Source organism: Homo sapiens, chromosome 20, assembly GCF_000001405.40.
Source record: "Homo sapiens chromosome 20, GRCh38.p14 Primary Assembly".
NCBI lineage: Eukaryota > Metazoa > Chordata > Mammalia > Primates > Hominidae > Homo > Homo sapiens.
Genome location: NC_000020.11, coordinates 51,743,725 through 51,768,909, shown reverse-complemented (window position 1 = coordinate 51,768,909; position 25,185 = coordinate 51,743,725). Strand labels below are relative to the sequence as shown.

General features: G+C 48.9%; 1 protein-coding gene across 1 annotated transcript in view, besides 3 other annotated features; it reads left to right on the top strand.

Moving 5' to 3' along the window:
• The first annotated feature begins 519 nt into the window (after nt 1-519).
• ATP9A (ATPase phospholipid transporting 9A (putative)) overlaps nt 520-25,185 on the top strand; it is a 171,877-nt gene continuing 147,211 nt past the window's right edge. The window contains exon 1 of the mRNA NM_006045.3: nt 520-608. Coding sequence (NP_006036.1) covers nt 541-608 — 68 coding nt within the window. The 5' untranslated portion in view covers nt 520-540. The remainder of the gene's footprint in view (nt 609-25,185) is intronic.
• Nucleotides 5,984-6,668: an enhancer, noted in NCBI's record as "H3K27ac-H3K4me1 hESC enhancer chr20:50378781-50379465 (GRCh37/hg19 assembly coordinates)". NCBI's record gives its function as "activates a minimal SCP1, AML or CMV promoter by ChIP-STARR-seq in primed H9 embryonic stem cells {active_cell/tissue: H9 hESC(primed)}" and the evidence as "EXISTENCE:reporter gene assay evidence [ECO:0000049][PMID:30033119]".
• Nucleotides 18,451-19,061: an enhancer, noted in NCBI's record as "H3K27ac-H3K4me1 hESC enhancer chr20:50366388-50366998 (GRCh37/hg19 assembly coordinates)". NCBI's record gives its function as "activates a minimal SCP1, AML or CMV promoter by ChIP-STARR-seq in primed H9 embryonic stem cells {active_cell/tissue: H9 hESC(primed)}" and the evidence as "EXISTENCE:reporter gene assay evidence [ECO:0000049][PMID:30033119]".
• Nucleotides 18,654-18,703: an enhancer, noted in NCBI's record as "active region_18115". NCBI's record gives its function as "activates an Ori minimal core promoter by ATAC-STARR-seq in GM12878 lymphoblastoid cells {active_cell/tissue: GM12878}" and the evidence as "EXISTENCE:reporter gene assay evidence [ECO:0000049][PMID:35858748]".

Sequence of the window (25,185 nt, the reverse complement as noted above, 5' to 3'; positions counted from 1 at the left end):
CTGACTGATGGGGTGAGCGTGGCCGGGTGCCCGTGTGATTGTGCATGTCAGATATTGGTGGGGATGAGTGTCACAGCGCGCGTGTATAGGGCTGGGATGTGATTGTGAATGTGGGATTTTGCGGGGGGTGCGGTGGCAGGGTGCGCGCACGGCGGGCGTGGGCGGGGGGCGCGTGGCCGGGTGGGCGCGCGTGGGGGGCGCGGGCGCGGGCCGGGGGCGGGGACACTGCAGCGGTCGCGGCGGCGCGGACACGGCCCGGCCGCCCCCCGTGGCAGGCGCGGCGCGGCGCGGAGCGAGCGGGCGCAGCGCGGAGCTCGGGCCCATGGTGCGCCCGTGTCCGTCGGTCGGGCCGCGCGGGCGCTCCGCGCGTGGCCCGGCGCTCGCGAGCTCGCCCCCTCGCTGCGGGCCCGGCCCGCCCGCTGCCGCCGCCTCCTCCCCCGGGGCGGCGCGGCGCCGGCGGGCGGCGGCGCGGAGGCCGGACCGGGCGGCGGCCCAGGCGGCGCGGGGGGCGCGGCGGCCAAGGCGGGCGGCGCCGCCGACATGACGGACAACATCCCGCTGCAGCCGGTGCGCCAGAAGAAGCGGATGGACAGCAGGCCCCGCGCCGGGTGAGTGGGCCTGGGCCCGTGTTTTCCTTTGTCCGCGCCTCCCGGAGCCCGGCGCTCGGGCCAGCCTGGCCGGGCCTGACAGGTTGGCCGCGCGCCGCGCCCGGCGCCATGAGCCTGGGGCAGGGCTGGGGAGGCGGGGAGGTGGGGAGGGGGTCCCTGCGCTTCAGCCCCGGGCGGCACCTAGCCTGATGCCGGCCCTTTGGGGTTCGAGCGCCCGGTTGCCTGGGCCTCCTTGCCCACCTTCCTTTAGAAACCCCGAGAAGCCGGGCCCGCCCCAGTGCTGTTTACACACTCGCGGAATTCGGATCAGCCGTGCTTTCTCACCGTTTTATTGTTCCGTAATTAATATCTGTCCGTAATTAATATCTGAGGTAACAATTTGGTCAGTGTCACACCGAGCTCTGCGCTTGGAGCATTACTCGGGAGCCCAGATATGCTCAGCTTTTAGGGGGGCGCGGCCTACGCCTCGGGGTACCCCATCAGCGCCCCTGGGTCCCAGCCCCAGGAGGCTGCGCCGAGACCACCTGCGCTCCGGTGGCCCCTTCCCCCTCCGCCCGGGGTGGACCCGAACCAGCAGTCGCAGGAGGGTGGGAGGGTCTCCTACTGGCCGCTTGGTGACACTACCCCTTGTGTTCTCCCCCCACAATTTCGGGGAAGGAATCCCACGGCTGGGACAGGGGCTGCCACCTGCTGTGCCCTTCCCGCAGTAGGAGACCCCGAGGGCAGCTTAGGCGCGGAACAGGCAAGGGTTTTTCTGCATTTGGGAAGAGGGGACGGGTTGGTATTTTGCGCCTCGCCGTCTTCCTGTTCGGAGGATGGCAGCGTGACGCGTTGAGGTTTGCGGGGCTCTCGTATCGCCTGCCATAGACTTACCTGGGCGTGAGGGGCGGGGGTGGGAAGGACGGGGGTGGGCGCTGGTGCAAATGCAGATTTCCCGGCCCCCGCCTAGACCCGCCAATCAGAGTTCTGGGGGGCGGGGCCTGGAGATGTGCAGCTCCACAGGCCGCGCAGGTGAGGCTGGAGCCCGCGGGAGGCTGAGCGCGGTGTTGGGCGGGGCCTGCGGCCGCTCTGCTCCGCCCTTCCTCGGGCGTCTGGTCCTCTCTGGGCATTTCCCGGTGGCGGCCGCTTATTGCAGCGTCAGTTGCTCGGAACAGGAGACGCGGCGGGTGGAGTGAACCATAAGGGTGGCTTCACCAGGTGTCAGTGGAATTAAAAAAAAAAAAAAAAAGAATGGTGCTGGCGGCCATTTTGTGGGGTCTTTGTCCCTGGCTTCCTGAATCCTCCGAAGAAGAGGCCTCACTGATATTACCCAGAGGAGGAAACTGGAGGTTACGGAGGTTAAGGGCTATAGGGAAGACTGCAAAATGGAGATTGAACTCCGGATTGTCTGACCCAAAGATAGTTCCCTCACTCCTCCCTTCTCTGTTTTGCGTTTATTATTATTAGTATTATTATTATTATTGAGACGGAGTCTCCCTCTGTTGCCCACGCTGGAGTGCTGTGGCGAGATCTCGGCTCACTGCAACCTCCGCCTCCCGGGTTCAAGCAATTCTCTGCCTCAACCTCCCGAGTAGCTGGGATTACAGGCGCCCGACACCACGCCTGACTAGTTTTTGTATTTTTAGTAGAGACGGGGGTTTCACCATCTTGGCCAGGCTTGTCTTGAACTCCTGACCTCGTGATCCACCCACCTCGGCCTTCCAAAGTGCTGGGATTACAGGCGTGAGTCACCGCGCCCGGCCTCCTTCGTTTTAATGATGACAATTGACTTGAACACTATGCCTGGAACAGTGCCTGGTACATCGTACATCCTCCGTAAATACTGTGATGAATTAATATGATCAGTGGAGTCTAAAATCCAGTGGTTATTAATTTGTGCCATGAGCAATTATGAGACGCCTACTATGTGCAGGAGCCACTCCAGCTGATGGGGATGCAAGGATGAATTAAAGAAGACCTGCCCAACAGGTGTGGGTGTCCTGACCCTGGCTGTTCATTGCAATCACCAGGGAAACTTAACTAGCCTTTTCTGATTCATTCTAGACCTTTGAAATAAGAATTTAGGGTGGGACCTGGGTTTCTATCTATATATTTTAATAAGCTCCCCTGATGATTTTAACATGCAGTCAGAGTTGAGAACTTTTGAGTCAGTACATGAAAGAAAAATGCAAATATTGTTCAAAAGTGATCATTAGCGTGATAGAAACATGAGCCGTTCATATGGAGAGCCAGAGGGAGTGGTGCAGATAATTTTATTTAAAAGTAAGTTTTCTAGGTTGCGTTGGAATGGAGCATCACAGCCCCTTTAGAATTTACCAGCTTTGGAACTAATCTTTCTTTTTTTTTGAGACGATGTAGTTTCACTCTTGTTGCCTGGAGTGCAATGCCTTGGTCTTGGCCCACTGCAACCTCTGCCTCCTGGGTTCAAGCGATTCTTCTGCCTCAGCTTCCCAAGTAGCTGGGATTACAGGTGCCCACTACCACTCCCGGCTAATCTTTGTATTTTTAGTAGAGAGAGTTGTTTCACCATGTTGGCCAGGCTGGTCTTGAACTCCTGACCTCAGGTGATCCACCTGCCTTGGCCTCCGAAAGTGCTGGGATTACAGACGTGAGCCACCGTGCTTGGCCTGGAACTAATCTAATTCTGTTTTTTTTTTTTGAGATGTAGCTTCACTCTTGTTGCCAAGGCTGGCACGATCTCGGCTCACTGCAACGTCCGCATTCCAGGTTCAAGCGATTCTCCTTGAATCAGCCTCCTGAGTAGCTGGGATTACAGGCATGCACCATGCCCGGCAAATTTTGTATTTTTAGTACAGATGGGGTTTCTCCATGTTGGTCAGGCTGGTCTCGAACTCCTTACCTCAGGTGATCCACCCACCTTGGCCTCCCAAAGTGCTGTGATTACAGATGTGAGCCACTGTGTCTGGCCAATCTATTTCTTAAACAGTGACATGGATTTGGATTCAAATTGTGTATCAGGGTTGCTGTGCATTTGCGTAAATGCTCTTGTATATAATCTGCATTTTCAGGAGTAGCAACATCAAGGTGGAATCCTGAAGTTTAGAAACTCTTGAGAAGCACAGAGAGATGGAGGAGCTTCCTGAAATAGAACTAGGGGCTGGGGGATGGCAGCGTGAGGGCTAAAGTGGGTGGGTGGTTAAAGGAAGAAAAAAGTAATATGTAATGGGTCAGGCTGTCTGCTGGACACTTGAGATAAATAGGGCTGTTTTAATCCTTACAACAACCATGTGAGTTTTTGGAGTTAATTCTCCCATTTTAGGGGCCAGATGTGGTGGTTCAAGCCTGTAATCCCAGCACTTTGGGAGGCCAAGGTGGGCGGATCACTCGAGGTCAGGAGTTCGAGACCAGCCTGGCCAACATGGTGAAACCCTGTCTCTACTAAAAATACAAAAATTAGCCGGGTGTGGTGGTGGTGCCTGTAATTCCAGCTACTGGGGAGGCTGAGGCAGGAGAATTGCTTGAACCCAGGATGTGGAGGTTGCGGTGAGTCAGGATTGTACCACTGCACTCCAGCCTGGGTGAAGAAGCAAGACTCCATCTCAAAAAAAAAAATTCTCCCATTTTATTGACAGGGAAACAAAGATTCACTGATATTAATGTGTTCGTGGTCTTGGAGGTTGTGAGAGGAGGCAGTTTTGAACCGGATCCACCCATTTCACCTAATGGTTCTAGGCAATAAAGCTGTGGAATGGTTGGAAGATTTGTGGTTAAAAAAACCAAAAACGATGCCACATGTCATAGGGGACAGAATGCAGTTATTTCTGGGGTCACTCAGCGAATGTTGCGAAGACGTGCAGCTTATTTTTGGAGGAATCTCCTGGCTTCAAAGTTCTTTTCTCTCTTGAGAAAGTTACCACATCCTGATGTTGAGAAAACTTTTGAAATGGTGTAGTTAGGAAACAAGGCATTTCACCTCCATTGCTGGAAACCATTTTATGACATCATGCCCTTTGCTTATGGCTGAATGGAGCTCCTCTTGTGGTGAAATGGCAGGGATTATTTGTTAGGAGCCAGGACGCAGGAGTCCATTGAGGAGCTGGGTTCACACCCAGGCTCTGCTGCTTACTAGCTGTGTGATCTTGGGAAAATAACTTTACCTCTCTGAGTCTCAGTTGTTTCATCTGTAAAATGGGAATATCAATAATTATGTATCTCATAGTTTTTTAGTCCATGTAAAGTTTAGGAGAATAAGTGCTCAGTATGCCTTAGGTGTTTACTAGGGCTAATGGTAATCCTTAGGTGTTTGCATGAGGTTTACCGTTGGGGTCTACAGTGTGCTTCTTTGAGAGGAGGGGCCTTTTATGAGAAATTTAGAAATATGAATTTCACTGCTTTTTCCTGATCAAATTTAGGAAAATGAATAACTATGTAGAGCATTCTGTCCAGGTATGTCGAGGCCCTGGTGTGATGTTGTGGCAAGGATGGGAGCTTAGGTACCAGGTGGCCCAAGACTTTGCCTCATTGTAACAATCTACGTTTTGTGGGTGGCCACACTGGATGAGGATGCTTTGATGCTTGATATATTTGGATTTGGGGGACTAGGAAGTTTTGAATATGAATCAGATTGAGAAAGAAGAACTGAATAGATATGTTGTCTACCACAATGTTTTAAACAGCTTTATTGAAGTATAATTTATATAGCATACATCTATTGAAAGTATGTAAACTGGCCAGGTGCGGTGGCTCATTCCTGTAATCCCAGCACTTTGGGAGGCCAAGGTGGGCGGATCAGGAGGTCAGGAGATCCAGACCATCCTGGCTAACACAAGTGAAACCCCATCTCTACTAAAAATACAAAAAATTAGCTGGGTGTGGTGGCGGGCACTTGTAGTCCCAGCTACTCAGGAGGCTGAGGCAGGAGAATGGCGTGAACCCAGGAGGCAGAGCTGGCAGTGAGCCGAGATCGCGCCACTGCACTGTAGCCTGGGCGACACAGCGAGACTCCATCTCAAAAAAAAAAAAAAAAGTATGTAAACCATTGATTAAAAAAAAACCAGGTGTATGGAGTTATGCAACCATCACTCCGGCATGGGTTTTGAATGTTTCCATCACCTCCGAAAGTCTCCTCCAGCCCATCTGCAATTCATCCCTGCCCTTGCCCCAGTCCCAGGCAACCAGTGATCCGCTTTCTGATTCCATAGGTTTGCCCTTTCTGGAAATTGTCTATCAATGGAATCACACCACGTGTTGCCTTTTGTGTCTGGCTGCTTTAATTTAGCATGAAGTTTTTGAAGTTTCTTTTTATTGTGTAATAGAATTTCAGTTGGGCTTGGTGGCTCACACCTGTAATCCCAGCACTTTGGGAGGCCCAGGCAGGAGGATTGCTTGAGCCCTGGAGTTCAAGAGCAGCCTGGGCAACATAGTGAAACCCTGTCTCTACAAAAAATAAATAATAATAATAAAAAAAGCCAGGCATGGTGGCTTGAGCCTGTGGTCCTTGCTACTTGGGAGGCTGAGGTAGGAGGAGTGCTTGAGCCCAGGAAGCGTAGGTGGCGGTAAACCCTGATCATACCGCTGCACTCCAGCCTCGGCAACAGAGTGAGACCCTGTCTCAAAAAAAAAAAAAAAAAAAAAAGCCATTTGTGGATATATCACCTTAAATCTTTTTGTTTGTTTGTTTTTAGACAGGGTCTCGCTCTTGTCACCCAGGCTGGAGTGCAGTGGCATGATCTCTACTCACTGCAACCTCCACCTCCCGGGTTCAAGCGATTCTCATGCATCGGCCTCCTGCGTAGCTGGGATTACAGGCTCCCGCCGCCACGCCCAGCTAATTTTTTTTTTTTTTTTGAGACAGAGTCTTGCTCTGTCACTAGGCTGGAGTGCAGTGGTGTGATCTTGGCTCACTGCAACCTCTGCCTCCCGGTTCAAGCAGTTCTCCTGCCCCAGCCTCCGGAGTAGCTGGGACTACAGGCGCATGCCACCACGCCCAGCTAATTGTATTTTTAGTAGAGATGGGGTTTCACCGTGTTGACCGAGATGGTCTCGATCTCTTGACCTCATGATCCGCTCACCTTGGCCTCCCTAAGTGCTGGGATTACAGGCGTGAGCCACCATGCCTGGCCTAATTTTTGTATTTTTGGTAGAGACGGGGCTTCACCGTATTGGCCAAGCTGGCCTTGAACTCCTGACCTCAAGTTATCTGCCCACCTTGGCCTCCCAAAATGCTGAGATTACAGGTGTGAGCCACTGACCCTGGCCCGGCCCAGTGTTATCACAGGGTCCTTAAAAGCGAAAGACAGGCAGGAGAGTGAGTGTCAGCATAAGAGAAAGATTGGGAGAGGCTGCACTGCTGGCTTGAAGAGGGAAGAAGGGGCCATGAGCCAAGGAATGCGGGGGACTCTAGAAGTTGGAAGAGTTAAGGAAACGGACTCGGTTGGAGCCTCCAGAAGGAACACGGCTCTGCTGACACCTTCCTTGATTTTAGTCCCATGAGGCCCATTTTGGACTTCGGACCTAACTGTAGGGTAATAAACTTGCATTGTTTTAAGCCACTCAAGTTGTGCTAATTTTTTTTTTTTTTTGAGGCGGAGTCTCGCTCTGTCGCCCAGGCTGGAGTGCAGTGGCGCAACCTTGGCTCACTGCAAGCTCCGCCTTCCGGGTTCGCGCCATTCTCCTGTCTCAGCCTCCCGAGTAGCTGGGACTACAGGCGCCTGTCACCACGCTCGGCTAATTTTTTGTATTTTATTAGAGACGGGGTTTCACCGTGTTAGCCAGGATGGTCTGGATCTCCTGACCTCGTGATCTGCCCGCCTTGGCCTCCCAAAGTGCTGGGATTACAGCCGTGAGCCACGGCGCCCGGCCAAAGTTGTGCTAATTTGTTACAACAATGAGGAGAAGCTGTCACACACCGATGTGTGCTGCAGACCCTGGGAACGGATTGTCGTGCTCCTCTTTCCATCCCACAAAGGGGACTGGAATCTAGACAGGAAGCCCGCCACCTGGGTGGAGGCATCAGAGGCATTTCAGAGGTCCTACATTTTGCCTGAGAGCATAGAGCTTATGTCAGCATGTTTATGTGACTCATTATCTGACGGTGGAGGAAAAAGATGAATATTTATTTAGGACCTGCAGTGTTTTGGCTCTGAACTCATGTTTCCTCTTTCATGCTGCACAATGGCCCTTTGATGTTGGTAATTTTTTTTATTCTTGCTTTACTGATAAGGAAACAAAAATGCCCTTTCTCTTTGATGTGATGGAGGTGGTGTTAGGTAGGACTCTCATTACTCTCAGGACTTACATTCTTGTTTTTTATTTTGAGACGGAGTCTCACTCTCACTCAGGCTGGAGTGCAGTGGCGCAGTCTCGGCTCACTGCAACCTCTGCCTCCTGGGTTTAAGCAATTCTCTGCTTCAGCCTCCCAAGTAGCTGGGACTACTACAGGCCTGCGCCACCACCACGCCCAGCTAATTTTTGTATTTTTAGTAGAGACAGGGTTTCACCATGTTGACCAGGATGGTCTTGATCTCTTGACTTTGTGATCCGCCTGCCTCGGCCTCCCAAAGTGTTGCGATTACAGGCGTGAGCCACTGCACCTGGCATTTTTTTTTTTTTTTTTGAGACGGAGTCTTGCTCTGTCGCCCAGGCTGGAGTGCAGTGGCGTGATCTTGGCTCACTGCAACCTCCACCTCCCAGTTCAAGTGATTCTCCTGCCTCAGCCTCCCAAGTAGCTGGGATTACACATGCCTACCAGTATGCCCGGCTAATTTTTGTAGTTTTAGTAGAGACGGGGTTTCGCCATGTTGGCCAGGCTAGTCTCGAACTCCTGACCTCAGGTGATCCGCCTGCCTTGGCCTCCCAAAGTGCTGGGATTACAGATGTGAGCCACCGTGCCCTGCCCAGTACTTACATTCTTTATTTCAGTCGTTGTGAGCACTGAATTTTCGAATATGGAACCATTGCTCTTAGGGGAAATATGGGGTTAGGTTCCTGAGAGGCTCTGGTCACATTATTTTTGTTGACTGATCAATGAAGAACCTCGTTTTAGGTGTGTTTCTGTTTTTTAAAAACCGCATATTTAATGTACGTTATGGATTCATTAACATCGAACTCACAGGCAACAACTCTGTAACTCACGCCTGGAGGCAGCTTATCTGACACGTGTATTTTTTCCACGTGGCACATCCCAGCCTTCCTGTGCTTAGAGATACTAGTTCTTCTGCACTGTGCTGAGGGGCCATTTTAAACTGCAAAACCATCAGGGAAAAGCACAAAAATGCACAAATCGTGGCAGTAAGAGACCACAAAAATGACTCCTATTTGTAGTGTGAGAGCTGCAATGAGAAGCCTTGTGTCACCTCAGCTGGGAATGTGTGTGTCTGGGGGCGGGGCAGGGAGGAGCAACTCACCATTTTGGCTACACTGCACGCATCCATTAGTGACTGTGAAGGGGCTGCAGCTGTTGATTTGGGATTACAAGTTTGAGGGATTTGGTGAATTTGCAAATACAGAAATTATAAATTATGAGGATCAATTGTATATAGTGGGGTGGGTGTGTGTTTCAATGTCCTTCCTTTGACAAAGTGGAGATAGTATTAGATATGTGGCATGTAGGGGTGTGTGTACATCTTATTTTATTTTTTAATTTTATTTATTATTATTATTATTTTTGTGACAGAATCTTGCTCTTGTCGCCCAGGATGGAGTGTAGTGGTGCGATCTCGGCTCACTGCAACCTCTGCCTCTGAGGTTCAAGCGATTCTCTTGCCTCAGCCTCCTGAGTACATGGGATTACAGGCACCCGCCACCACGCCTAGCTAATTTTTGTGGTTTTAGTAGAGACAGAGTTTTGCCCTGTTGGCCATGCTGGTTTCGAACTCCTGACCTCAGGTGATCCACCCACCTCGGCCTCCCAAAGTGCTGGGATCACAGGCATGAGCCACCGCACCCGGCCGTGTGTGTACATTTTAACATCCTTTCTTTGATGTGGTGGAGGGAGTATTAGATACCAAGCATATAGGGGTATGTTTTGAGGGAGGGGATTGTGCTGGTGGGTGAAACCCAGAGACACCCCCCTCCTCAGCCACCGACCTTCCCCTCTCTGGGCTGGAGGAGAGAGTTGCACCAACAGCTCTTTGCCCCCCTGGGATGAGAACAGTGGAGCTTGGCAGCGGCCCATGGGGCTGTGCTCTCTGTCCTCTGCCAGCGCCCAGCTGCACTTGCGCCATCCCCTTCAGTTACAGAGGTCCTCCCTTGCTCTGCCTTGTGCTGACCAAAACCAGACTAGCTGCTCTCTGCCCACGTGGAGACCAGAAGATGTGTTGTTGCAAACCCACAGAGGGACTCTGAAGGATGGAGTGTGGACATGGGTGCCGTGCCTGCCGGGCTTCCTTGCAGACGGGCTCTTTCTTTTCTTTTTTGAGACAGAGTCTCCTTCTGTTGCCCAGGCTGGAGTGCAGTGGTATGATCTCGGCTCACTGGAACCTCCGCCTCCCGAGTTCAAGCGATTCTCCTTCCTCAGCCTCCTGAGTAGCTGGGATTACAGGTGCAGGCCACCATGGCTGGCTAATTTTTGTATTTTTAGTAGAGACGGGGTTTCACCATGTTCTGCAGGCTGGTCTCGAACTCTTGACCTCATGATCCGCCCGCCTTGGCCTTCCAAAGTGCTGGGATTACAAGCATAAGCCACTGCGCCCAGCCCAAAAGGGCTCTTTCTACCTACTGTACAGCTGGCTGGCGAGAGGAGGTCCCTGTAGTCCAGTCCGCAAGGAGATGGGGGCACCCTTTGACCTTGACCTCTGTCTTGCATGCAATAAGTTGGAAAAAGGAGGCAAGGCATGGAACCGGCCATCTTTGGACTTTTGTCCCTTACTTCTCAGAACAGAATGTTCTTTTAGTGTCTTTACCCAGATGGAAATGTTGAAAGTCAGTGATAAGGGCTGGCTGTATTTTATGACTGCCTTTGAAGGGGTGGAGGGGTTGGGACGTGTCTTCAGGGTCACTCATGAAGGTGGTGATTTTGGTTTAATTTGGAAAGAAAAAGACTAATTATAACATTTTTATTGATGACATTTAGAATGATTCTGATTTTAACAACTAGTATCTGTTTTCTCTAATTTGTGAGTTTGAAAGATTAATATATGTATGAAAGGTTAGCAATTATTTTTATGAGCCCTTCTGTTTGTACCAAATGATACTTGCTTTCTTGTGTCATGGCAGGAAGTTTCCTTTTAGAATTTAAATAAAAGGCAGTCAATTTAAAGAAAACCATGAAGTCTATAAAAGTTCCTGAGATTTGTAAATACCCCAAGTCATGCCTGACATTTAGGAATTAGTGGCCCATGCTGAAATGGCGCAGTCTAAACACATAATGTTACTGCTACAAGGGGAAAGAAATAGGATAGTTGGTTGTGCTTATACATTTAAAACCTTTTTTTTTTTTTGAGACGTACTCTCATTCTATTGCTCAGGCTGGAGTACAGTGGGTGCGATCTCACTGCAACCTCAGCCTCCTGGGTTCAAACAATCCTACCGCTGCAGCCTCCCCAGTAGCTGGGATTACAAACATGCACCACCATACCTGGCTAATTTTTGTATTTTTTTATAGAGATGGGGTTTCTCCATGTTGCTCAGGCTGGTTTCAAACTCTTGAGCTAAAGCAGTCCGCCAACCTCTGCCTGTCAAAGTGCTGGGACTACAGGCAGCAGCCACTGTGCCTGGCCCTGCTTTTATTTTTGTCTAAACAGAATTTGCAGAAACTCTGGGGGAAGACAGTTGGAAGAGGCCCTGTGCGAGCAGGGAAAGGCTTCTGGTGAGAATTGGAAAGGTGGACTGGGCCGGATGCTCTTCCTTCGCCCCAATTAAATCTCTGTGGCATTTAGCAAATGCCAAGGAAAAGCCTGTTGGCGGCGGTCCCCAAGGAAGAATCAGTTTGTAGTGTCAACAGTGCCCTGCTCCTACCGTGGGCCTGGCAGGATCTCCCACGTGCCACGGGCAGTTTGCAGTGATGAGATAAAGTCAGGCTTGGGGCCGGGCTTGGTGGCTCACACTTGTAATCCCAGCACTTTGGGAGGCCGAGGTGGGTGGCTCACTTAAGGTCAGGAGTTCAAGACCAACCTGGCCAACATGGTGAAACCCTGTCTCTACTAAAAATATGCTGCGCCTGGCCGATATTTTGGGTTTGATGATTCCCTGTTATGGAGGCTGTCCTGGGCATTGTAGGATGTTTAGCAACATCCCTGGCCTCTGCCCACTAGATGCCAGTGCCATCCCCTCCCCACCTTGTGACAATCAAGAATGTCTCCAGACATTGCCAAGTGTCCTCTGGGGGGTGAATGGCCCTCAGAGCCACTGGACTAAGGAAGCTGATACTCACTGAGTGGCCATAGTCCTTTTAAGGTGTCTCATCCTGTCTTTTTAAAAAAAAAACAAAACCGAAAACAAAACTCAAGACACCTGTTGGATGAGAAATTCATATAGTCTGGACTATTGTTCTTGCTATGAGGTCAGCTTTCTGATTTAGTAATTAAGGAAGCCTTGTGCTGTTAGAACATTTGGGAAATGTTGCAGACGTGGATCCCCCACACCTCCCCAAATTCACGTTTGAAGCTGGAATCCCCAGCACCTCAGAATGTGACTGCATTTGGAGACAGGGGGCCTTTAAAGAGGTGATCAATTTAAAATGAAGCTGTTAGGATGGGCCCTTTTCCATCCAGCCCGGTGACCTTATAGGAGGAGATTAAGACAGAAAGAGAGGCTGGGCATGGTGGCTCACACCTGTAATCCCAGAACTTTAGGAGGCTGAGGCAGGTGGATCACCTGAGGTCAGGAGTTCAAAACCAGCCTGGCCAACATGGTGATATCCCATCTCTACTAAAATTACAAAAATTAGCCAGGTGTGGTGGCGTGCACCTGTAATCTCAGCTACTAGGAAGGCCGAGGCAGGAGAATTGCTTTAACCCAGGAAGCGGAGGTTGCAGTGAGCCAAGATCATGCCCCTGCACTCCAGCCTGGGCGACAGAGCGAGACTCCATCTCAAAAAGAAAGAAAGAAAGAAAAAAAAAAAAAGACAGAGACACCAGAGAAAAGACCGTGTGAGGACACAGGGGGAAGGTGGCTGTCTGCAAGCCAAGGAGAGAGGCCTCAGGAGAAACCAACCCTGCTGACACCTTGTTCTTGGATTTCTGGCCTCCAGGACTGTGAGAAAATAAGTTTCTGTTGTTTAAGCCATCCAGTCTATGATATTTTATTATGGCAGCCCAAGGAAACTAACGTAGAAAGCGTCTCATTTATTGCCATCTTGGCATGTGCAGTATCTCTTAGTGTTATTAAGCTTTTATTTGAAATTAATGTCATGAATAGTGCAGCTATGAACTTTTTTTTTTTTCTTTGAGATGGAGTCTCGCTCTGTCGCCCAGGCTGGAGTTCAGTGGCACGATCTCGGCTCACTGCAAGCTCCGCCTCCCAGGTTCACGCCATTCTCCTGCCTCAGCCTCCAGAGTAGCTGGGACTACAGGCGCCCACCACCACGCCTGGCTAATTTTTTGTATTTTTCATAGAGACGAGGTTTCACCTTGTTAGCCAGGATGGTCTTGATCTTGTGACCTGCCCGCCTCGGCCTCCCAAAGTGCTGGGATTACAGGCGTGAGCCACCGCGCCCGGCTGCTATGAACATTCTTGAACACATCATTCAGTATGTATTATGTGGCTTTGCTGGGCCCTAGGGTATATTTGTGTTTAGCTTTAGAAGAAAATGATAATTTTCCAAAGCAATTGTACTAATTTATACTTCCACCAAGCTGGTCAGTTGTTCCATGTCCTCATCAACACTTGGTATTGTCCGTCACCTTTTGTTTCAGCCATTCTGATAGGAGTATAATGGTATTATAAGAAATTTTTTTTTTTTTAATTGAGATGGAGTCTTGTTCTTTCACCCAGGCTGGAGTGCAGAGGCGCGTTCTTGGCTCCCTGCAACCTCCGCCTCCTGGGTTCAAGCGATTCTCCTGCCTCAGCCTCCTGGGTAGCTGGGATTACAGGCCCGTGGCACCACGCCAGCTAATTTTTGTATTTTTAGTGGAGACGGGGTTTTACCATGTTGGTCAGGCTGGTCTCGAACTCCTGACCTTGTGATCCGCCTGCCTTGGTCTCCCAAAGTGCTGGGATTACAGGCGTGAGCCATCACGCCCAGCCAATAAATTTATTTATTTATTACTTATTTTTTATTTTTTGAGACAGAGTCTCACTCTTTTGCCCAGGCTGGAGTGCAGTGGTGCAGTCTCGGCTCACTGCAGCCTCCGGCTCCTGGGTTCAAGCAATTCTTCTGCCTCAGCCTCCTGAGTAGTTGGGGTTACAGGTGTATGCCACCATACCTGGCTAATTTTTGTATTTTTTTTTTTTTAGTAGGGATGGGGTTTCACCATGTTGGACAGGCTGGTCTCAAACTCCTGATCTCAAGTGATCCACCTCGGCCTCCCAAAGTGCTGGGATTACAGGCATGGGCCACCATGCCCGGCTTATTTATGTATTTATTGAGACAGTGTCTCACTCTGTTGCCCAGGATGGAATGCAGTGGTGTGGTCTTGGCTCACTGCAACCTCTGCCTTCTGGGTTCAAGCAATTCTCATGCCTCAGCCTTCCTACTAGCTAGTATTACAGGCATGCACCACCATGCCCAGTGATTTTTTTTGTATTTTTAGTAGACACAGGGTTTAGCCATGTTGGCCAGGCTGGTCTCAAACCCCTGACCTCAGGTGATTTGTCCACTTTTGGCCTCTCAAAGTGCTGGGAATACAGGCCTGTGCCACCATGCCTGACCTAAGAAATTTATTCTTCTTTTTTTCCCGAGATGGAGTTTTGTTCTTGTTGCCCATGCCAGAGTGCAATGGCGCAATCTCAGCTCACCATAACCTCCGCCTCCTGGGTTCAAGCAATTCTCCTGCCTCAGCCTCCTGCGTAGCTGGGATTACAGGCATGCACCACCAGGCCTGGCTACTTTTTTGTATTTTTAGTAGAGACGGGGTTTCTCCATGTTGGTCAGGCTGGTCTTGAACTCCCGACCTCAGGTGATCCACCTGCCTTGGCCTCCCAAAGTGCTGGGATTACAAGCATGAGCCACCGCGCCCAGCGTTGGCTTCCTTTTCTGTATCTGAGATTGAGTTTTAGACATATAGGTTAGCCAAGTCACAGGAACACTGAGCTTAAATTGTCAAGTCAGGGTGGTCTGTCCTCCTGTGGGGCTCCAGGCTCCAGGGCCTGGCCAGGCACTCTCTTCTTGAATAGTTTATGTTATAAGGGGAGCAGTGAAAAAGTCTAATCTTTGTTTTCCTCTAATTGAAAAATGAGTACATATCTATGTAAAAAAAAATGAGAGAACAGGCCGGGCATGGTGGCTCGTGCCTGTAACCCAGCACTTTGGGAGGCTGAGGTGGGTGGATCACCTGAGGTCAGGAGTTCGAGTCCAGCCTGTCCAACATGGTGAAAACCTGTCTCTACTGGAAAAAAAAAAACCAAAATTAGCTGGGCATGGTGGCACATGCCTGTAATCCCAGCTACTTGGGAGGCTGAGTCAGGAGAATTGCTTGAACCTGGGAGGCGGAGGTTGCAGTGAGTCGAGATCGTGCCACTGCTCTCTAGCCTGGGTGACAGAGCGAGGCTCAGTCTCATTAAAAAAAAAAAAAAAGAAAGAAAAAGAAAAATGAGAGAACAGAGAAAACTGATAAAGGAAATGCTGGTATTATGTTATTTTTCCTTCAAAGACAATCACAATGAACACAAACCTTTTAGCAGATGATGTTTTCTTCCTGTTTGTTTCTGCGTGTACATTGTTTTATGACTAGGAACCATGTAGAACGTGGGTTTGTTGTTGTTGTTGTTGTTGTTGTTGTTGTTGTTTTTTGAGACGGAGTCTCACTCTGTTGCCCAGGCTGGATTGCAATGGCATGATTTCGGCTCACTGCAACCTCCGCCTTCCGAGTTCAAGTGATTCTCCTGCCTCCGCCTCTGCCTCCCAAGTAGCTAGGACTACAGGTGCACACCACCACGCCCAGCTAATTTTTGTGTTTTTAATAGAGACAGGGTTTTGCCATATGCAAATGACATTTTGAATGACAGCATATTTCTTTGAATAGACATCTCTAATTTACTTAACCAGTGCCTTATAGTCTCACAAGTTGATTTGTATTTTATTTTCACTTTACAAGTAATGTTTTCTTTTTCTTTTCTTTCTTTCTTTCTTTTTTTTTTTGAGACAGAGTCTGGCTCTTGTTGCCCACGCTGGAGTGCAATGGCGCCATCCTGGCTCACTGCAACTTCTGCCTCCCAGGTTCAAGTGATTGTCCTGCCTCAGCCTCCCAAGTAGCTGGGATTACAGGCGTGCATAACCACCCCCAGCTATTTTTGTATTTTTAGTAGAGACAGGGTTTGACCATGTTGGCCAGGCTGGCCTCGAACTCCCAGCCTCAGGTGATCCACCCACCTTGGCCTCCCAAACTGCTGGGATTATAGGCATGAGACACTGTACCCGGCCACAGGTAATGTTTTCATTCTGAATCCTGGCCCTTCCTAAAGCAAACAAAGAGAAAGTAGAGAGAGGCACTGACTCCTGCCCGGGGCCTGAGAAGTCACCTAACTGGGATCGGATAAGCCTGACCAACAAAGAAGCACTCAAAAATGCAGTTTTGTGTGTGATACCACAGAAAACCAGTGCTTAAGAATCTTGGCCTTGTTTTTGGATATTTCAGAGAATTGCCGGCTGTTTGAAAGGGCATCCAGATCTCTACACACTCACAGAAAAGTTAACAGAGGTTTATAGCATGAAGACTAAAAATAGCTACTGTTGATTCATCCGTTTATTCACTCCATAAATATTTCCTGAGCACTTACTCTGTCTCTGGCAGTTTTAATATTAGGGATATAGTGGTCAACACGTGCGAGAGAAATCCCTGACAGTGTGGGGCTTCCGTTCTAGTGACACACAGTAGTTTTTCTTGTAAGAATTTTGTTAAACTCCGTTGGTGTCTTGGGTGCCAGCATCACTGTCTTAGGTATTTTAAGTGGATTGTCTTAATGGCATCGTCCAATACTAGGTACTGTCATTGTTTTATTTTCCAGGAAACGGAGGCTTAGCAGGGTTAATTAACTAGTCCAGGGTCCCACAGCTCGTAAGCTGCTGTCTCTTGTCTCCCAGGTCTCAGCTCAGCTGTGTCTTTGGGACATCTTTCCAGACCATTCACTCTGTAGGAGCCACCTACCGCTGAGTAGCATATATTTTTTTTTTCTTGTTTTTTTTTTTTTGTTGTTGTTCCTACCTTGCCCACCTACAAAATGTAGGCTCTGTGAGAGCAGTGCCCTCGTTTGTCTTGTGAGAATCCCAGTGCTTAGCACAAAGGCTGGCACCTAGTAGGTGCTCAGTAAATACTGGCTGCTTGATTAAATGAGCGAGTGAATAAAGAAGAGGAGCGGCCGGGCGCGGTGGCTCACGCCTATAATCCCAGCACTTTGGGAGGCCGAGGCGGGCGGATCACGAGGTCAGGAGATCGAGACCATCCTGGCTAACACGGTGAAACCCCGTCTCTACTAAAAATACAAAAAAATTAGCCGGGCGTGGTGGTGGGCGCCTGCAGTCCCAGCTACTCAGGAGGCTGAGGCAGGAGAATGGCGTGAACCCGGGAGGCGGAGCTTGCAGTGAGCCGAGATTGCGCCATTGCACTCCAGCCTGGGGAGAGCGAGACTCTGTCTCAAAACAAAACAAAACAAAAACAAAAAACAAACAAAAAGGAATAGGAGCAACAGGGCATGGTGGCTCATGCCTGTATCCCAGCATTTTGAGAGGCGGAGGTGGGAGGATTTCTTAAGCCCAGGAGTTCGAGACCAGCCTGGGCAACATAGGGAGACTCCATCTCTACCAAGAAAAATAAAAAATTAGCTGGGCATGGTATTGCATGTTTGTGGTCTCAGTTACTTGGGAGGCTGAAGTGGGAGGATCCCTTGAGTCCAGGGGTTTGAGGCTGCAGTGAGCCATGATCGCGTCACTGCACTCCAGCATGGGATGGAGTGTGACGCTGTCTCAAAAAAAAAAAAAAAAAACAAAAAAAACCCAGAAACGTTAAAAAATCTCAAGAGTTTTGCATTCCTAATTCATTGGGGGTATAAGTGGTGGCAGGGCCCACAATGGGCTTCAGTGAGGGTACATGTTGAGCACTGGAGCCAGAAGGAGGATAAACAATGGAATCCTCATCTGCAGAGAAAAAGGGAATTCTTCCTTCCTGATGCCCCTCCCTTCTTCCTTCCCTTCTTTATCCGCGTGACCCATGGCTGCAAGGAAGGAGCCACGTCCAGCCTCCTGCCTCTTGTTGGACGTAGAGCTCTTAGACCCCAATGTGTGTTGCTCATGGACGCTCCCATAGCAGTGCCAGCTGCCATAGCAGGCTTGGAGGGAGGAGGCAGGTGGGCTTGGCAGTGCCAGTGGGGACCCTTGGTGTGTCTCTGCTGGGTTCCTGCCATTTGGATTCCTCCCTAGGTTGCCATCTAGACAATTGAGAGGTGGCTCTCAGATTCTACAACGAGATGAGATTGCCAGACTCCAGCTAAGAGGGCTGGCTCCGGGGTCAGCCTGCTGGACTCACATCCTGGCTCTGTCCCTTATGGGCTGCAAGACCCTCTGAGGTGCAGTGTCCTCATCTACAAGAGGGCGAGGATAGAAGCCCTTGATGTAGGACAGTCGGGAGGAGCAAGGCAAGTCATTCGCGTTGAGGGCTTTGCCACAGCGCTTGGCACACACTCAGCACTTACTCATGTTTTTGCTTATTGTTTTGGTGTCTAGGAAATTGCCTTCCACTGGATTCTGTCCTGTTTTCTGGAATTTTTTGGGCTCGTGCTGTGTGGGGTTGCCAGCCAGGCTCTGTGGCCTAGGTCTGTGTTAGAACCTATGACCGAGTGTCTTGGGTAAACACAAATGCATGAGGTGAGGGAGGAGTGCTGGGCACTGGGGCATGTGAAAGGGCCCAGGAGAATGAGTCATCAGCCCACGCTTAGTGACGGAGCACGTTTGTGTGCCAGGCCTGGGGGAGGTGAATGGTGTCTGCTCTCTGACCTACAAGCTCATGGCAAGATCAGAGGCTGCAGACAGAGCTGTGTGCTGTTTGGGCAGCGGGGTGAGCTTTATTATTTTATTATTATTTTTATTTATTTTGGAGACGGAGTCTTGCTTTGTCACCCAGGCTGGAGTGCAAGTGGTGCGATCTCGGCTCACCGCAACCTCCGCCTCCCGGGTTGAAGCAATTCTCCCGCCTCAGCCTCCCAAGTAGCTGGGATTACAGGTGCCCACCACTATACCCAGCTAATTTTATTGGACTTTTTTTCTTTTTTTAAGTAGAGACAGGGTTTCACCATGTTGCCCAGGCTGGTCTCAAACTCCTGAGCTCAGGCCATCTGCCTATCTCCCAAAGTGCTGGGATTACAGGATGAGCCACTGCACCCGGCCTATTTTATTTTTAGATTAGAAAAAAGTGTACTGAGTCAGAGTCACATGGTTTAATACTTAAAAGCTACAGAGGTGTAGCCATTGCAAAGTCAGTTTCCCTCCCACTCTCTCTAGTCAGCTACCCTGTACCCTTCCCCAGGCAGCCAGTCTTACCATGTTCTTCTGTATTGTTCTAGAAATTTTTAAGCATTTATCAAAAAAACCATGCATCTTTATATAGATAAATAGACATAGATTTTTTGTTTTTATTCTATTATTAATATACCCTACACAGTACATGTATTGTTCACTTAACAGTACATTCTGGCCGGCAGTGGCTCACGCCTATAATCCCAGCACTTTGGGAGACCAAGGTGGGTGGATCACCTGGGGTCAGGAGTTTGAGACCAGCCTGGTCAACATGGTGAAACTGTCTCTACTACAAATAGCAAACTTAGCTGGGCATGGTGGTGGGCACCTGTAATCCCAGCTACTCGGAAGGCTGAGGAGGCAGAAGAATTGCTTGAATCCGGGAGGCGGAGGTTGCAGTGAGCCGAGATCGCACCACTGCACTCCAGCCTGGGTGACGGAGTGAGACTCCGTCTCAAAAAAAAAAAATTCTGAGCTCGTTCCGTGTCAGTATATAACAACCTTCTTCATTCCCTTTTTGAAATTATTTATTTATTTACTTATTTGAGATGTGGGGGCTGTGTTGCCTAGGCTGTCTCAAACTCCTGGGTTCAAGTGATTCTCCTGCCTCAGCGTCCCAAATAGCTGGGACTACAGGCACACACCATTGCACCTGGCCTTTGATCATTATTTTAATGCCTTTGTAGTATTAAATTGAATAGTACTGTAGTTTGTTTAGCCAGTCTACCACTGATGGTCATTTAGATTATTTTTCCATTTTATTTGTCTGTCTGTCTGTCTGTCTGTCTATCTATCTATCTATCTATCTATCTATCTATCTATCTATCTAATCTTTAGAGGCGCTGTCACCCAGGCTGGTCTTGATCTCTTGGCCTCAAGTGAACCTGGGCCTCCAAAGTGCTGGGATTATAGGCGTGAGCCACTGAGCTTGGTCAGTTATATTTATTTTTTCTAATGGTTTACTATTACTAGAAATGTCACACAAGTCTTTGTGCCCATGTTAGACTGCACGGAATATCTGGAAGGGGAATGGCTGAAGTGAAGGTACATTTGTAATTTTGATAGCATCGTCAAAATGTCCTCCCTGAGGTGATGCCATCTTGGATCCTTGCTGGCAGTGACAGCGCCTATTTGTCCATCCTTGCCATTATTAAGATTTTTGACTTTGGTCGTAAAAAAAAGATATCTTGGTGTGGTTTTAGTTTTGTATAATATTTAAAAATTGAATCAGTTGCCAACATTTTATAACTGAATATTTGCTTACAGAATGTCTTTGTCTTGCAGAATCAGATGGTCTAGGCTTGTGTAGGAACTGGACTGGCGGTGTGCCCCATCCCACTGGACCCTGTGTTTATTTTCATTCATTGTTTTTTCTCCTCCTCCCTCCTCTCTTCTTTCTTTCCTTCTCCACCTCCTTCTTTCTTCTTTTCTTCTTCTTCCATTTTTAAAAAATAAATAGAGATGGGATCTCACTATGTAACCCAAGCCGGTCTCACACTTTTGGCTGTAAGTGATCTTCCTGCCTCAGCCTTTCAAAGTGTTGGGATTACAGGCGTGAGCCACTGCACCTGGCCTATGTATTTTTTTATGTGGCTTGCTGGGCCCCTGTAGGTTTGAGTTTGCCAGTCCTGGTCTAGAGAGAAACAGACCAGTAGAGTCTAAGAGAGCCCAGAACTGCTTCCTCCTCTCCTTGTGAAGAGCACAGAGTTGGGTTTGGAAGGATAGATAGAAGACAAAGGGACAGGCTTGCAGGAGGATGTCTGGTGTGAGTGGGTCTTACAGACATGTTGGGTAGTTTGATAGAAATGGAATGGTGGGGAAAGATGAGAGCATAGGGTTCCGGGGCATGCCTGCCTTGGCTGCAGGAGGGTGGCTTGGTAAAGGGACAGCAGAGATGAAAAGGTGAGAAGGTGAGAGCCTTGGACTTGAGTCTGATAGCTGTAGGATCTTTGTGGGAGTGGGTCAACACACGAGTCATACTTCTATAAGAGGAGTCAGGTCTGCTGAGCAGCAGAATACCCACAGGGAAGACTCAGAGATGGAGAAACAGGGAAAGGCGACAGTCCCAGCATCCCTGACTGCCCATCTGCTGGAAGCACCTGTGGTAACAGTCATGGGGCAGAGGAGGTGTTTGTTCCTCAGTGCTTTTTCCTAGGCTTATATTAACACATATTTTGGTATTAAAATACAAAATAATAAATTACATGTTTCTTGCCTTCTTTTTTTCTTCCCATTTAACCACCTGGATCTTTCCCTGGAGTGTATATGTCTCTACTTCCTTCTTGCAATTGGTACAAATCCATTGCACAGGGGGTGCCTTTGTCATTTCCGGGGTGTTGCCCTGTCTATTGCCGCTGTGAACATCCTCGTGCATCTCCCATAGGACCAGAGATCGCTCCCTACCTCCCTCTGGCAGGACTTGCTGGGTCAGAGGACCTGAGCTTTACATTTAAAGAGAAGCTGCCACATTGACTTGGCTTTTCTCATGAGGTGATTGATATATTCCCATTTCTCCTCCAGACAGTAGCATTTCTGTGGCAGGGATGTGTTCAGACTTCAGACTTCGCTTCTTTCTTTGCATCCTTCCTGACTTAGGTTTTGTATTCTCCTAGTTAAACAGGAAAAAAAAAAAAAAAAACGAAAAACCCAGACCTTAGATGTATTTAGAAGGAAGAGCAAAAGTTTCCCTTCATACCTTTCCTTCCACTCCTTTTTCTTTTCTCTTTTTTTTGAGACGGAGTCTCGCTCTGTTGCCCAGGCTGGAGTGCAATGGCACTACCTCGGCTCACTGCAACCTCCGCCTCCTGGGTTCAAGCCATTCTCCTGCCTCAGCCTCTGGAGTAGCTGGGATTACGGGCGTGCGCCACCACACCTGATTGATTTTTGTTTTTGTTTTTTGAGATGGAGTCTCGCTCTGTTGCCCAGGCTGGAGTGCAGTGGCGTGATGTTGGCTCGCTGCAACCTCCACCTTCTGGGTTCAAGCAATTCTCCTTCCTCAGCCTCCTGAGTAGCTGGGACTACAGGTGTCCCCCACCATGTCCGGCCCATTTTTTGTATTTTTAGTAGAGACGAGGTTTCACTGTGTTAGCTAGGATGGTTTCAATCTCCTGACCTCGTGATCTGCCTGTCTTGGCCTCCCAAAATGTTGGGATTACAGGCGTGAGCCACCGTGCCCAGCCCTGACTGATTTTTGTGTTTGTAGTAGAGACAGCGTTTAGCTATGTTGGCCAGGCTGGTCCTGAACTCCTGACCTCAGGTGATCCGCCTGCCTCGGCTTCCCAAAGTTCTGGGATTACAGGCGTGAGCCACCGTGCCCAGCCTCCTTCCACTCCTAACTGCCCTCTTAACAACTGCTGTCCATAATGGTACCACGTGGCTATTTCAATCAGTTAAGTGAATGAAATAAAAAATTTTAAAAACTTTTATTTTAGGTTCAGGGCTACGTACCTGAGGTTACATCAGTAAACTCATGTCACCGGGGTTTGCTGTACCCAGGTATTAAGCCCAGTGCCCAACAGTTATCTTTTCTGCTCTTCTCCCTCCTCCCACCCTCTACCTGCAGATAGACCCCCAGTGTCTCTTCTTCCCTTCTTTGTGCCTGTAAGTTCTTATCACTTAGCTCCTACTTATAAGTGAGAACACGTGGTATTTGGCTTTCTTTTCCTGTGTTAATGTGCTGAGGATAATAGCCTCCAGCTCAATCCATGTCCTGCAAAAGACACAATCTTGTTCTTTTTTATGGCTGCGTAGTATTCCATGTGCATATGTACTACATTTTCTTTATCCAGTCTGTCTTTGATGGGCATTTAGGTTGATTCCATGTCTTTGCTTTGTGAATAGTGCTGTAGTGAACATTTGTGTGCGTGTGTCTTTATGGTAGAATGATGTATATTCCTTTGGGTATTGAAATAAACTTTAAATGTCACATTTTGGGTACTCAGCAGCCACATGTGGCTGCTGGCTACTGTGCTGGATGATGGTGCAGTATAGAATGATTCCATCATCACAGAAGCCTAGTGGGCAGAGCTGCTCCAGAGCAGGGCTCTCCACCGCAGGACTATTGACATTTGGGGCCAGATTACACTCTCTGGTGGGGGGTCTCCTGGGCATTGTAGGATGTTTAGCAGTATCCCTGGCTTCTACCCACTACGTGCCAGTAGTGCCCTACTTCCCTGTAGTAGTGACAATCAAACACATCCCTAGACATTGCCAAATGTCTGCAGGGGGCAAAATCCCCCCGCCCTGCTATTGAGAACCACTGCTGTTGACTAATTCATAACGGCTTTTAATTTTTTTCCTTTTTTTTTTTTGAGACAGAATCTCACTCTGGCTGGAGTGCAGTGGCAGAATATTGGCTCACTATAACTTCTTCCTCCTGGGTTCAAGCGATTCTCCTGCCTCAGTCTCCCCAATAGCTGGGACTACAGGCACCCGCCACCATGCCCAGCTAATTTTTTTTTTTTTTTTTTTTAGACGGAGTCTCGCTCTGTCACCCAGGCTGGAGTGCAGTGGCATGATCTTGGCTCAGTGCAGCCTCTGCCTCTCGGGTTCAAGCAATTCTCCTGCCTCAGCCTCCCCAGTAGCTGGGACTACAGCCACACCTGGCTAAATTTTGTATTTTTAGTAGAGACGGCAGGGTTTCACCATGTTGGCCAGAATGGTCTTGATCTCCTGACCTCTTGATCCACCCGCCTTGGCCTCCCAAAGTGCTGGGATTACAGGAGTCAGCCACTGCACCCGGCCCATGCCCAGCTAATTTTTATATTTTTAGTAGAGACAAGGTTTCGTCATGTTGGCCAGGCTGGTCTCGAACTCCTGACCTCAAGTGATTCTCCCGCCTCGGCCTCCCAAAGTACTGGGATTACAGGCATGAGCCACCATATCTGGCTACTTTTAATTTTTCTTCATGTTCTTCTTGGATCTGCCCAGCGTCAATGCTGAGACTGTTCTTTCCTGGACCCTGTAACTTCCTGGAAGGTTGGTGTGTCATGCAGACAATTCAGCAAATATTTGCGCAGTGCTAACTGATTATAGGGGAACTCCCAGCAGAGATGATGGTTTCTGTGGAGGCCAACTCCTTGTTACATTAGTTACCTTTTTCAGAAACATTGTTCCCTTGGCTCTGCTCCTCTAATATTTGCTTTTGCATTTCAGCCAGATTGTATGAAACCATTGCACATCTGGTTAGCAGACTATCTGCTGTTAAAACCTTTATTTGTCTTAAAGTCAAATCCTAAGAAAATCAATTTTGGTTTTCCTTTATATAAATGGTCTAGGCTGGGCGCGGTGGCTCATGCTTGTAATCCACTTTGGAAGACTGAGGCAGGTGTATCACCTGAGGTCAGGCGTTTGAAACTAGCCTGGCCAACATGGTGAAACCCCATCTCTACTAAAAATACAAAAATTAGCCGGCTGTGGTGGTGCAGGCCTGTAGTCCCAGCTACTCAGGAGGCTGACATGGGAGGATCACTTGAGCCTGGGAGGCGGAGGTTACAGTGAACCGAGATTGGGCCACTGCATTCCAGCCTGGGTGACAGAGTGAGACCCTGTCTCAAAAACAAACAAACAAAAAATAAATAAAATAATAAATAAATGGTCTAAGCAGGAAGCAGTGTAAACGAAGTTATTTATAAACTTACACTTTAACCTAGTTGAATGGCTGTTATCAATGGGTGAGAAAGTTATTTCATATTTTCCTTTTTCATCTGGAAAAATAACTTTTTTTTTTTTGAGATGGAGTCTTACTCTGTCACCAAGGCTGGAGTGCAGTGCCAGAATCTCGGCTTACTGCAACCTCCACCTCCAGGGTTCAAGCGATTCTCCTGTTTCAGCTTCCTGAGTAGCTGGGACTACAGGTGTTTGCCACTGCATCCAGCTAATTTTTGTATTTTTAGTAGAGACAGGGTTTCACCATGTTGGCCAGGATGGTCTCGATCTCTTGACCTCGTGATCCGCCCGCCTCAGCCTCCCAAAGTGCTGGGATTATAGGCGTGACGACCGTGCCCGGCCTAA